Source organism: Homo sapiens, chromosome 2 (genome assembly GCF_000001405.40).
Source record: "Homo sapiens chromosome 2, GRCh38.p14 Primary Assembly".
Taxonomy (NCBI): Eukaryota; Metazoa; Chordata; class Mammalia; order Primates; family Hominidae; genus Homo; species Homo sapiens.
In genome coordinates this window covers 178,206,869-178,219,399 of record NC_000002.12, presented here as the reverse complement: position 1 = coordinate 178,219,399, position 12,531 = coordinate 178,206,869, and the positions used below count along the sequence as shown (strand labels likewise).

General features: G+C 42.1%; 1 protein-coding gene across 48 annotated transcripts in view, besides 3 other annotated features; it reads right to left on the bottom strand.

Annotated features, from left to right (window-relative positions):
• Window positions 1-12,531, bottom strand: part of OSBPL6 (oxysterol binding protein like 6) — a 209,120-nt gene that overhangs the window by 183,494 nt on the left and 13,095 nt on the right. For 6 of the 48 annotated variants that reach the window (XM_047443124.1, XM_047443127.1, XM_047443160.1 and 3 more), the window contains exon 2: window positions 2,546-2,629. The exons of 39 other annotated variants lie outside the window; for them this stretch is intronic. The gene's annotated coding sequence lies outside the window, so the exon portion shown is untranslated. Of the gene's footprint in view, window positions 1-2,458; window positions 2,630-12,531 lie in introns of all 48 variants that reach the window. 3 more of the 48 variants (XM_047443123.1, XM_047443149.1, XM_047443129.1) reach the window with 1 other exon arrangement.
• Window positions 7,021-7,598: an enhancer, noted in NCBI's record as "OCT4-NANOG-H3K27ac-H3K4me1 hESC enhancer chr2:179076529-179077106 (GRCh37/hg19 assembly coordinates)". NCBI's record gives its function as "activates a minimal SCP1, AML or CMV promoter by ChIP-STARR-seq in naive H9 embryonic stem cells {active_cell/tissue: H9 hESC(naive)}" and the evidence as "EXISTENCE:reporter gene assay evidence [ECO:0000049][PMID:30033119]".
• Window positions 7,599-8,176: an enhancer, noted in NCBI's record as "NANOG-H3K27ac-H3K4me1 hESC enhancer chr2:179075951-179076528 (GRCh37/hg19 assembly coordinates)". NCBI's record gives its function as "activates a minimal SCP1, AML or CMV promoter by ChIP-STARR-seq in primed H9 embryonic stem cells {active_cell/tissue: H9 hESC(primed)}" and the evidence as "EXISTENCE:reporter gene assay evidence [ECO:0000049][PMID:30033119]".
• Window positions 7,704-7,998: a silencer, noted in NCBI's record as "tiled region #9723; K562 Repressive non-DNase unmatched - State 7:EnhWF". NCBI's record gives its function as "represses a minimal TATA promoter and a strong SV40 promoter by Sharpr-MPRA in K562 cells {active_cell/tissue: K562}" and the evidence as "EXISTENCE:reporter gene assay evidence [ECO:0000049][PMID:27701403]".

Below are 12,531 nucleotides of genomic sequence, written 5' to 3'. Positions count from 1 at the left end.
AATTCACCTTGGGATCTGGAAACTTGGCTTTGCCACCTACTATTTTTTATTTTCAGTAAGCTGTACTGCTTCTGTGCTTCCATTTCCTATTTTGTAAAATGGGGATAGAAATACCTACTCCAAAATGTTGTTGTGTGGTTTAAATCTGAATATAGATGATGCAAGCAACCCAATTCTTGGCCCACAGTAAGCATTCATTAAATGGTATCTTTAATAAAACTCCATTTTTTTACAGTCTATCACTAACAGTCTATTTTATGTTGGTCTTGCTCTTGAATAAAGGCAAATTGGACAAGTAGGATTACATCTAGAATCCTTCAGGCTACAACAAAAAGGGAATCGAGTCAAAGCAGGTAAGTAGGGAAACAAAACTGTCAAAGACAGAAGAGTCAGGAGTGGAGAGAATAAAAAAAAAGCAAAGAATTATGTACAAGAGGTAAAAATTCAGGTCTAATAAAAAGGAGCAGGGATAGGCTGGGTGTGGTGGCTCACATCTGTAATCCCAGCACTTTGGGAGGCTGAGGTGGGCAGATCACGAGGTCAGGAGTTCAAGACTAGCCTGGACAACATGACAAAACCCCATCTCTACTAAAAATACAAAAATCAGCTGGGCATGGTGACGCACACCTGTATTCCCAGCTATTCGGGAGGCTGAGGCAGGAGAATCACCTGAACCCGGGAGGCAGAGGTTGCAGGGGGCAGAGATCGTGCCATTGCCCTCCAGCCTGGGCAACAGAGCAAGACTCCATCAGAAAAAAAAAAAAAAGAAAGAAAGAAGGGGGATAAAAGACGGGGAGAGAAAAAAGTCAGTAAAAGAGGAAGAAGTTGAAAGAGAATCATGGAAAAGATGGTAAGGAGATGTTTGAGAAGCAAACAAGGGGAAAGCCATTTCCATTACCAACCCAGAATACCTCTATTAATAGAATGAAGAGCATTTTGTCAAGAATAGCTTACCTTGCTATAGCATTCTCTCTCTCTCTTTTTTTTTTTTAATTTTTTTTTTTTTAATAATGCTTACAGATTTATCTGTTTGCCCTAAGAAGGACTCACCCAACAAGAGAGGCCAGGCAGAAACTGTTATCCTGAATTTACATCTGAGGACAAAGAGTCAAGAGGCTGACTTGTCTACAGATGGACCACGTAGGCATTTCCTACTTGTAAAATAAAATCTTTAACACCTTCCAACCTCCTTTTCAAAAGCACAGTCTGGTTAGCCTTTTATAGCAGAAACAAATTCTATCCTATTCTGGTCAAAGAAAAAGGAAATTAAAACTTTTTTGGACTTGAGGGAAAGTTCTTGAAACCTTAAAAAATTTATTTTAAAACAATTTCAAACTTACAGGTAAACTCTCAGAACAGTACAAAGAACGTCCATATCTTCACTCAAAAACCCTATTGAACCTGCCAACCACTGATACAAAAGTTAGGAAGAATTTACTTGGGCAGATAGTGAGGACACGGAAGTCCTCCATAAGGTTTTCCTTTTCATGAAAACCAGCCCCAAATTATTTTCCTTTCTAACAATGGGTAGCTTGTAAAATTGAGCTGCAGACATAGATGCCAGCAGTTGTGCCAATCATGTTCAAGATGGCGGCTCCATCTTCCCTTCTCTTTGTCAGCCACCTGTACAGTAAGAAGCAGACAAGATGGTTCAGATCAACTGGAAAGGCTATTTGCATAATAAGATTAGGGTGGGGCAACCAGCCTTCCCTATGCACTATGTAAATGTCATACCTGATGGAACCAATCTGTGAGCCCTATGTAAACCAGACACCACCTCCTCAAACCTGACTATAAAATCAGGCACATTCACCACCTGCTGGTCCTTTCCACTGGGAGACCCCTTTCTCTATAGAGAGAGCTGTTTCTCTTTCTCTTCTCTTCTGCCTATTAAACCTCCACTCCTAAACTCGTGTGTGTCTGTGTGCTAAATTTTCCTGGCGTGCGATGACAAAACCCCGAGTATACACCTCGGACAATGTAGCCACTTCACCATCCCACTGACTTCTTTTGTAGCAAAAGGATTCAGTTCAGGATCATTCATGGTATTTGTCATGCCTCTCAGTTTCCTGCAATTCAAAACAGTTCTTTGGTCCTTCCTTGAGTTTCATCACCTTTAAAAATACTCTATTTTAAAATAACTTAAGTTGCACGAACAGTACAAAGAACTCACACTCCTCTTTCCCTTTCACTTAGACACTGGATTATTTAGTCTTCAGCACTTTCTGAATCATTTGAGAGTGAATTGTGGATATGATGCCCCTTCACTCCTGTATATTCCAGTATGTATTTCCCAAAACAAAGGCACTCTCTTATATAATAATCATCTGACTAGCTCAATCAGTGACTGAATGCTAATAGAATATTACTATCTAAATTCACAAATGCCATTCAGCTCGTCCCAACAGTGGCTCTTTCTCCTTCCAGGCCCAGGATCCAATTTGGGACCATGCATTACATTTAGTTATCCAATCTCTTCTTCAGTGTGGAGTAGTTTCTCGGTCTTTCCTTGCCTCTCATCCTTGACAGTTTTAGTGAGCCAAACCTTTTATTCTCTCAGATGACTCAGGTCACCCTCAATTTGAATCCATCTGATGTCTCCTCATGACGAGACTCAGGCCATGCATTCCTGGCAGGAAGATGCCAAAAAAATATAAAGTCAACATTTTCCTCCTCGTAATTGATAGGTACGTTGTAGAGAAACACTATGAGACTATGCCAATATCCTGTTCCTCAAGCCTCCATTCTTAGCATCCACCAAACTTAGCATCCATTGACAATTCCTGCCTTAATCAACCATCACTATGTTTGCCAAATGGTGATTATTCTAGTTCCTACATTCCTCCTACATTCATTGGTCAGCATTCTCAACCAATAAAAGAAGAGCTTCCTCTCTCTCACCTCCGCTTATTTATTTTTATCAACACAGACTCATTGAATCCTATTTCATGTAATGACTTACAATCTGTTACTCTCATTTATTTTGACACTCTAGTTTTCCCAGATATGGTCAGTGAGAGTCTTTCATACTTGCCTTTTTATAAAGTAAATTGAGTGAATATGATTTCATGTACCAAGGGGTATATTCAGGGCCAAAAACCTCTGCTTTCTCAATTCACTTTGGGAGTTATAAGACAACACAGAGAAATCATTCATGAATGTAATCCTTTTTCCCCCTTTCCAATATCTACTAACCAACATTTAAATACAAACAGATATCCTCTTAGAATCAGCTGTCAGGTAATATTTAAAGTGGCATGTCTATATTACCCTTTATAAAAAGATGAAAGATGTAAAAAAGAATCTTTGGTACCAAGGTCCTATGGATTGATTTTGTGCTTGCCTAGCCAGCCCCCTCAAATGAGTAAGTTAGGACCTTCCTCAAACTTCTCCCTTGGTTCAAGACCCTCCTTAGGTGATTTCACCCAGGCTAGAAATAACACCAGCCTCCAAACCAATAAATGAAATTGTGTGTGTGTCACGCACCAGACCCAGTGTAGATGCACAATACATAGCAACTCTTATCTTTTGTCCCCTTCACCTGCCCCAGAACTAAACATTCATTTTTCCTCCAGTACCACACACCTCCATTACTGGTCACCTCAAAGTCATCTCCTCAGTTGACAAAACTCTGCTAGTGCTAGAACCCAGCCTCTTTTTTTCAACATTGCTGCCAAAGTTTCAGCTCCAACTCCTGCCACTAACACTCTCCCTCCCTTCCCTTACTTCACCAGATTCCTCTCCCTAAATCACAGGAACACGACACTCCCCGAGAGAGGGCTTCTTCTCTCTCTGCAGAATAAAGCTGGGTCCCCAAGCTCTGGCATCAAACTAGGTCTCTCTCACCGTCTATACTCCAACCTCACAGAACTCTGGGCCTGCAATTAGGTTTTACTTATTTGTCTACCACAATCCAATGCAAAGCCTTGAAATTAGGTGGTATTCAGCCTCATCTCCACTGCCCTGCCCTGAGCTCAGTAAATGTCTGCTGTGATAAACAAAAAGGCACCTGTGGAAGACACAGTTGTCCACTTATTAGAAACACTACACATAAAAGGGCCAATTTTTCCAGAATTTTATTACTGATTCACATTTGAATAGTGATACATTTGTTTTGGATAGCAGAGGAATGAGGTTATTTGGCATACATCAGCAGAATAGGTAAAAACTTATTTTATATAGACATTACTTCCATAGCTCATAACTAATAAGAAACCCACTGAATAAAACATTTCATTACCATTCCCAATCCCAGAAGTACCAAGGTTTTTTTGTTTCTGTTTTTTCTTTTTTTTTTTTTTAAAGGATAATTTTGCTTTTAAACCAGTACTTTGCATCAGAGACTTATTTGATGGTCAATTTTATGTGTCAACTTTGTTACAAGCTACCGTCTAGTTATTAAACCAAATACTAATCCAGGCATTGCCGTAAAGGTTTTTGTTTGTTTAGAGACATGGTCTTGTTCTGTTGCCCAGAGTGGATGCAGTGGTATGATCACAGCTCACACAGCAGCCTCGATCTCCTGGGCTCAAGCAATCCTCCTGCCTCAGCCTCTTGAGTAGCTGGAACTACAAGCACGTGCCACCATACCTGGCTGATTAAAAAAAAAATTTTTTTTAAGAGACAGGGTCTCACTATGTTGCCTAGGCTGGCTTCAAACTCCTGGGCTCAAGTGATCCTCCTGTCTCAGCCTCCCGAGTAGCTGGGATTACAGGCATGAGCCACCGTGCCTGGTTCCATGTGAAAGTATTTTGTAGATGTGACTAAAGTCCATAATCAGTTGACTTTAAGTGAAGATTATAAGTGGGCCTGATTGAATCAGTTGAAGCCTTAAGGGCAGAGCCGAGTTCCCCGGGAAGAAATTCCACCTGTGAACAGCAGCCCCACCCTGTGCCAGAGAATTCCAGTCTGTTCGTCCAGACAGCCTGTCCTACGGATTGATTTTGTACTTGCCTAGCCAGCCCCCACAAATGAGCAAGCCAATGTGTGCAATAAATCTTTTATCTTCTATTGGTTGTGTTTCTCTGGTAGAACTCTTGACCAATCTACTTCCAGAATGAAAGGGGAAAGAGGATGTAACAGCTGAACAGTTAGCAAAATCTATATAAGGCCTTTACAGGATTGCCTTATTTTGGAGTGGGAAGTAGTCAGGCTCCTAGAACATCAGATACCCCATATTCAAACATAAGTTCAAATACATATAACATATGCCACGGCTTCTGTCCAACTGCATTCATTACACATTCAGTTGGCAAATATTTGTTATGAAAGGCACTGGGGAGAGAATAGTGTGCCAGACAGGCATGGTCCCTGCTCTTAGGGAGTTTACAGGATAGTGGGACATCATCAGTCATCAAACCAGTAATTATACAAATACTTGATTAATTATAATTATAATGAGTGCTGGGAAATACAGGATGCTGTTGGCATATTTAGTAGGGGAACTAACCAACTGGGGAGGGCTTTTGGAAATGCCACCGAGGAATGACACTGAAGATGAGAAGGGCAAGCAGGCAGTAGCCAGGCAGAGGACAGGAGGAAGAGCAGTCCAGTCACAGCAGACACATGTGCAAAGGCCTTATGCAGTAAACCATCTACATGAATTCAAGCACCTAAAAGATGACCAGTCAGTCTGGGCTGTTGTAAATTAGGAATGGGGAACATATAAGTTCAAACAGCCACACAAATAAAAGACAATGATTGGTCAAATTTGTCAAATAACTGACAGCAACTGCACGTGTTTAAGCACATAGTGACATGATCAGACTTGTGCTTTTAATATTTTCCTAGCAGGTGTGTATAGTTTGGCAGGAAGCAAATTGGATTGATGGAGACCAGTTGCAAGGCTTCTGTTACAGTCTAGGAAGGAGACGATGGAGGCATGAAAAAGGGCAGGGTGATGAGGATGGAGACACATGGTTAGCGGTAGAATCAACAAGACATGGAGTTTAGTGTTGGGTGATCTCCTAAGTGGAAGAGCCAGGGCAGGGTGGGAAAGGGTGGATTTGGGAGGGACAATCATGGTCTATGGTTCTGTTTTGGGCATGCACAAGTTTGTAATTCCTGTAAGATAACCATATGAAAATGTGCCTCTGGAATTCAGAAGGGACCTGGCCCAGATAGATAAATTTGGAATTTGCTAGCAGAGAGTCAGAACTTGATGCGGTCAAGCAGGGAGGCAGTATGGAGTGAGAAGACTGAGGATAAATTCCTGGAAGTACTGACATTTTAGGTGGGTGGAAGAAGAGCTTCCAAAAGTATCTAAAGAGGAGCAATCAAGAGGGTCCGTGCTCGGCCGGGCGTGTTGGCTCACGCCAGTAATCCCAGCACTTTGGGAGGCCGAGGCAGGCGGATCACGAGGCCAGGAGTTCGAGACCAGCCTGATCAACACCGTGAAACCCTGTCTCTACTAAAGATACAAAAAATTAGCCGAGTGTGGTGGTGTGCACCTGTAATCCCAGCTACTCGGGAGGCTGAGGTGGGAGAATCGCTTGAACCCGGGAGGTGGAGGTTGCAGTCAGCTGAGATAGCACCATTGCACTCTAGCCTGGGTGACAAAGAAAGACTCATCTCAAAAAAAAAAAAAATTATCAAGAGGGTCTGTGTTCACACAGGGCACACTCGTTTACATAAAAATGTTTTCCAATGAGCTATTTTAGTTTTAGCCTCTGCGTTTAAAAAATTGCATACTTTCACTGAAAAGGAAATAACCAAGTGTAAGGGGAAAACCCAATTAGAATGGACACAAGTAATTTCCAGCTAAGGTGTTTTATACAATAAGTATCACCTCACTGATTACTGTTTGCAATAGTTATTCGGTCTTTGGGACCAGCTGTACTTTCTGAAGTCACTTCTTCTTAACACTAATAGCTTGGCTCTTTATGTATAATTAGAGCCAATTCAGGCAATTAATTGTAAGGCTCACCTCAGAACACACTGCTTTAATCTTTCAGAAATCACTCTGTGTCACATTATTCTAAGAATGCCTCACTTGAAATAAAACACTGAACCGATAGGAAGTATTAATTTTAAAAAACTCTAAGAAGAGTGCCCTGGCCCCTAAAAGAATCACACAAATTAGCGCAGGCTCAGTGACTAAAAGAACTCGGGCTCCAGGAAAGGACATATTTAAATTACAATTGCACTCTGTCAGACTAGGAACACTTCTTGCCTTAATCCTCCCCATTAGCATGACACAGGGTATGTCAGGGAAACCTCTACAGTGTGCTGAGCTTCAGAGGGCAATTTGTAAGGCGGCCTTGTTAGAGTTTATAAAAACAGGCCCAGCAGAGGCCTCACAGACTCAGCAGGCACAACAGCACGAGGCACAAGTGGGAGCTTAATGAATATTTGATGATGACATTTTTTCTCCCTTGCATGATATGGCAAAGCAGCCCCCAACTTCCCAATGGAACCTATGCCAAAACATGGGTTGTTCAAATTTATGACCTGGAAATCAAAACATATACTATTCCTTTAAAATGTGTTATAATTGGTGGAGTCCAGGCCATGTGGGAAGCCATAACAGAGTTAGAGTTCCTAACCACCACTTACAACAATGCTTTAATGAAGAAAACACAGTGCATTACAATTGAAGACACCACTCCTCCAAGGAGAAGGGAAAGGGCTCATGTGGCTCCGAGCTGGGAATCTGGGCAGAGGGTAATGGTAGGGCAGCAATAAGGGACTGGGGCCAGTGGCTGACACCTGAGAGATCCAAAAGCAAAGATGAAGATGTAGTGAGTGCTTCAGAATGGGGTCAGGTAGAGACTCCAGCCCTGGCAGGGCTGCAGAGACAGAGGAGGGTAAGGCATCCCTATCAAAATGGCATCTGGCTGAGGTCAGGAAATAAGGAGCAAGTGCCGGAAGCAATCTTGCTCTGGCAGGAGCCCTGAGGAGACCGGAGGTCCTGGGGCTGGGACAAACTGAAAGCTGAGCCCTAGGCACAGTCAGATATTAATCAAAGACCATCCCCTTGGGCCCCAGGACACAAGGTTATCCAGTCTCTGAAACCATATTGAAAGTCAGGCACCTGCTCACCTATTTGCATACAGGGGTTTTAGGATTAACTGAGTGGTTCAGGACCTCCTTGACTTTTTTGGGTTTTCGTTTATTTGTTTGTTTGTTTTTGAGATAGGATCTCACTCTGTAGCCCAAGCTGGATTGTGGTGGTACAATGATAGCTAACTGCAGCCTCAAACTCTCGGCTCAAGCAATCCTTCTTCCTTAGCCTCGTGAGGAGCTGGGACTACAGGCGCGCACCACCACACATGGCTAAGTTTTTAATTTTTTTAGAGACAGGGTCTTGCTATGTTGCCCAGGCTGGTCTTGAACTTCTGATCCTCCTGCCTTGGTCTCCCAAAGTGTTGGAATTACAGACGTGAACCACTGCACCTAGCCTCGATTTTATATCTTGCTCTATCCATGTAGTATAAATTCATGCCCTACACGAATATAGCAAGATACAAAGGCAAGAATGAGTAGCTTGGGTTTAAACAACCCTCTACCCCTGTCCTTGTCCCAGCCTCTGAGCCATTCCAGCAGAGAGGGGTGTGTGTGTGTGTGTGTGTGTGTGTTTTTTTTTTTTGAAACATTGTCTCACACTTGTCACACAGGCTGGAGTGCAGTGGGGCAATCTGGGCTCACTGCACCCTCTGCCTCCTGGGTTCAAGTGATTTTACTGCCTCAGCCTCCCAAGTAGCTGGGATTACAGGCATGTGCCACAATGCCCGGCTTATTTTTTATATTTTTAGTAGAAGCGGGGTTTCACCATGTTGGTTGGCCAGGCTGGTGTCAAACCCCTGACCTCAAGTGATTTGCCGCCTCAGCCTCCCAAAGTGCTAGGATTACAGGCATGAATCACTGTGTCCAGGCAAGAAGAGTCATTTTTATGTCCATTGTATATAAGGCATAATGTATCTACATTTACCTTCCTAAATTGATATCCAAACCCAAAAGGCCATCAAATAATATCCTTAGGTTGAATCATCTAACAGTAAAATACTAAGGTGTCCTAATTGCAGGGGAAGGTCAGTTTGAAAGTCTTTGTTGGATTTTTTTTAACTGTCAAATTTACTTATAGGTCAGGTGTGGTGGCTCATGCCTGCAATCCCAGCACTTTGGGAGGCGGGAGGATCACTTGAGGTCAGGAGTTCAAGGCCAGCATGACCAACATGGTGAAACCCCATCTCTACTAAAATATACATAACAAAGTTAGCTGGGCATGGTGGCAGGCACCTGTAATCCCAGCTACTCAGGACGCTGAGGCAGGAGAATCTCTTCAACCCGGGAGGCAGAGGTTGCAGTGAGCCAAGATCATGCCACTGCACTCCAGCCTGGGTGATAGAGTGAGACCCTATCTCAAATAAATAAATAAATAAATAGATAAATAAATAAAATTTACTTATAGTCTTTATCTTTAATAAAGTCTTATTTTTCAGAGTACATATGGCTATAGTATGGAAAGAAAGAAAAGCGGGAAAAAAAGGCACCATGTCTTGGGAAGCTTTTTAAGTTATTTAGTAGTTTTTTTTTTTTCTTAATGGTAGCCAGACCTGTAGCCTTCAGGCAAAAGCTTGTGAGATCTCTGTGAAATCTGCCCAGTCTAACAGGAAAACCTCAGGATGCTGCTACTGTAGTGAGAGTGGGCTTCCTTACAGGACCAGCTCTGTCCATGAAGCCCTCAGTTTAAAAGACCCACTTGAGTGCTTGAAGCTCTCAAATCAGCTCCCTTGGGGACTCACTCTTAAACAGAAGCAGGCAAGCCACAATCACCAGATATCTGAGGAAAAACTCAAACATGAAACACAGATCAAAACAAACATAAAGAAAGCCACTTGGAGGACACCGAGGTTTCCCTGTGCAGGGAGCAGAAAATGTCAATAACCTCAGAGGGGTGACAGAAGATACTGCATCATCCATCAAACAAGAAAGGGATGCTAAAAAAAAAAAAAAAAAAAAGAAAGAAAGAAAGAAGAAATTTCAAACATGCAAAACTCAATAGAAAAGCTGGAAAATTGCCTCTTTGAAAACCCAGAAAATAAAAAGAGGAAAAGGGAAATAAAGTTGAGGAAATCACCCAGAAAGTAGGGCAAGAAGATTTAAAACAAAGAAATATGACAGCAAACATAAGAAAATTAAAGAACCAATGAATCCAGAAAGTCTAATACCCAAATAATCAGAATTCCAGAAAAAGAGAACAGGGAAAAGTGAGGGGAAGAAAGCATCAATAAAACTAATGAAGATGTTTCAGATCTTAAAGACCTTAATTTTCCAGACTGAAACGGCACACCAAAGACGGACAAAAGATTGAACATAAAGAGAGAAAATACTACTAACTACCAGACAGAAAAACAAACTTAGGTTTTAGAATGGCTTTGGTCTTCTTAACAGTAAGTTCAGAAGCTAGGGGGCAGTGGACTAAAGCCTTGAATATTCTAAAGGAAAATTATTCCCAACCTTGAATTTTAGGCCCAGACTATAAATCAAGAATGAGAATAGTGTAAAAATATTTATAGACATTTAAGATCTCAAAAATTTTACCCTCTCAGGAAGCTAACGGAGGGTGTGCTACATTAAAAAGAAAGAAAGGGGAGGAAGGAAAGAAGAGAGGAAGGAAGGAAGGATGGAAGGACAGAAGGAGGGAAAGAGGGAAGAAGGGAAGGAAAAGGAAAGGAAAGGAAAAGGATGGGAGGGGAAGGAAATGGAGGGGAAGGGAGGGGAGAGGAGGGGATGGGAGGGAAGGGGAGGGGAAGGGAGGGGAGGGGAGGGAAAGACAGAGGGACAAGCAAAGAAGAGGAAAACATGAAGACATAGAAAGCAGGAGATCCAATACAGGAGAGAGGTGTGTGTTGACAATAAAAAAGGTTTAAGACCAAAACATAAGCAAATAAGTATTTTGAAAGGATCTTGAGGGAGGATATCAAATGTACAGGAGATTTTTCTAAAGCTAAGTAATAATTGGTTTGAAAGAGTCTAATTTAAGAGGTAATAACTTCGAGCAAATTTTAAGAGCATTTTTTTCTTTCTCAACTATTTGATGATAAGCAAGTATTAATTAATATTCTATTGGATGGCACTTTGTTTCTTTCTTTCTTTTTCTTTTTTTTTTTTTTTAGACAGAGTCTTACTCTGTCACCCAGGCTGGAGTGCAGTGGCACGATCTTGGCTCATTGCAACCTCCACCTGCTGGGGTTGAAGCAATTCTCGTGCCTCAGCCTCCCAAGTAGCTGGAACTATAGGCACGTGCCACCACGCTGGCTAATTTTTTGTATTTTTAGTAGAGATGGGGTTTCACCATGTTGGCCAGGCTGGTCTCGAACTCCTGACCTCAGGTGATCCGCCCACCTTGACCTCCCGAAGTGCTGGGATTACAGGCATGAGCCACCATGCCCAGCCCGGCACTTTATTTCTAATAAAACTTTGCTAATTGTCACACTGGCACACAAGTTCTCTAAATTCAATCTCCATAATTTGGTTAATATTTGCTTATCATCAAATAGTTCAGAGAGAAAAACATACTCTTAAAATTAGCTTCAAGTTATTACCTCTTAAATTAGACTTTTTCAAACCAGTTACTACCTAGCTTTAGAAAAATATCTTGTACATTTGATATCCTCCCTCAAGTTTCTTTCAAAATACTCTCTCCATCTCCATCTCCCACCCTCCTCCCCAGACAAACACAGCAGCTCTAACTCCAGGTCAGCACACAAGAGGTTCTCATAGGTGACTTCCCCTGCATACTCATGGCATGCAGATGTTCCCAAATTTACTTCTGCAGGCATCTCCTGATGCAGATGTACTCACAGCTGGAAAAACCAACTGCAGTTGGCTGAAAAATACACACCGACCCCACCCTTAAAAAATTATGTTCACTTCCTAATCCCCTGAGCTTGTAGATATTACCTTATATGGCTAAGAGAGAATATTTTACCATATATGACCCCAAAACATATGATTAAGTGAAGGATACTGAGAGGAGGTGCTTATCCTGGATAATCCAAGTGGGCCCTAAATACAATTACATGTATCCTTGTAAGACAGAGGCAGAGAGAGTTCTGACACAGACAAAGAAAAGGAGAAGACACACACAGAGGAAAAGGGATGTAAAATAAAACAGAGATTTTGAGTTATGTGGCCATGAGCTAAGGAACACCAAGGACCAGAACAGGAGAGAATACATTTGTGTTGTTTTAAGCCACTAAGTTTGTGGTAATTTATTACAGTAGCCATGGGAAACCAGTATACCACTCTGCCACAGCAGCACTCACAGGTGCACCCACACAAGACCACCTTTATAGGCAGGGACCCACTGGCTATCGCTTTCTCTTTAAAAACAAAACAAAACAAACAAACAAAAACCCCAGCACTTTGGGAGGCTGAGGTGGGAGGATCCCTTGAGTCCAGGACTTTGAGACCAGCCTGGGAAACACAGCGAGACCTAAATTCTCTACTAAAAACAAAACAAACAAACAAAAACAACAACAGGCTGGGTGTGGTGGCTCACATCTGTAATCCCAGCACTTTGGGAGG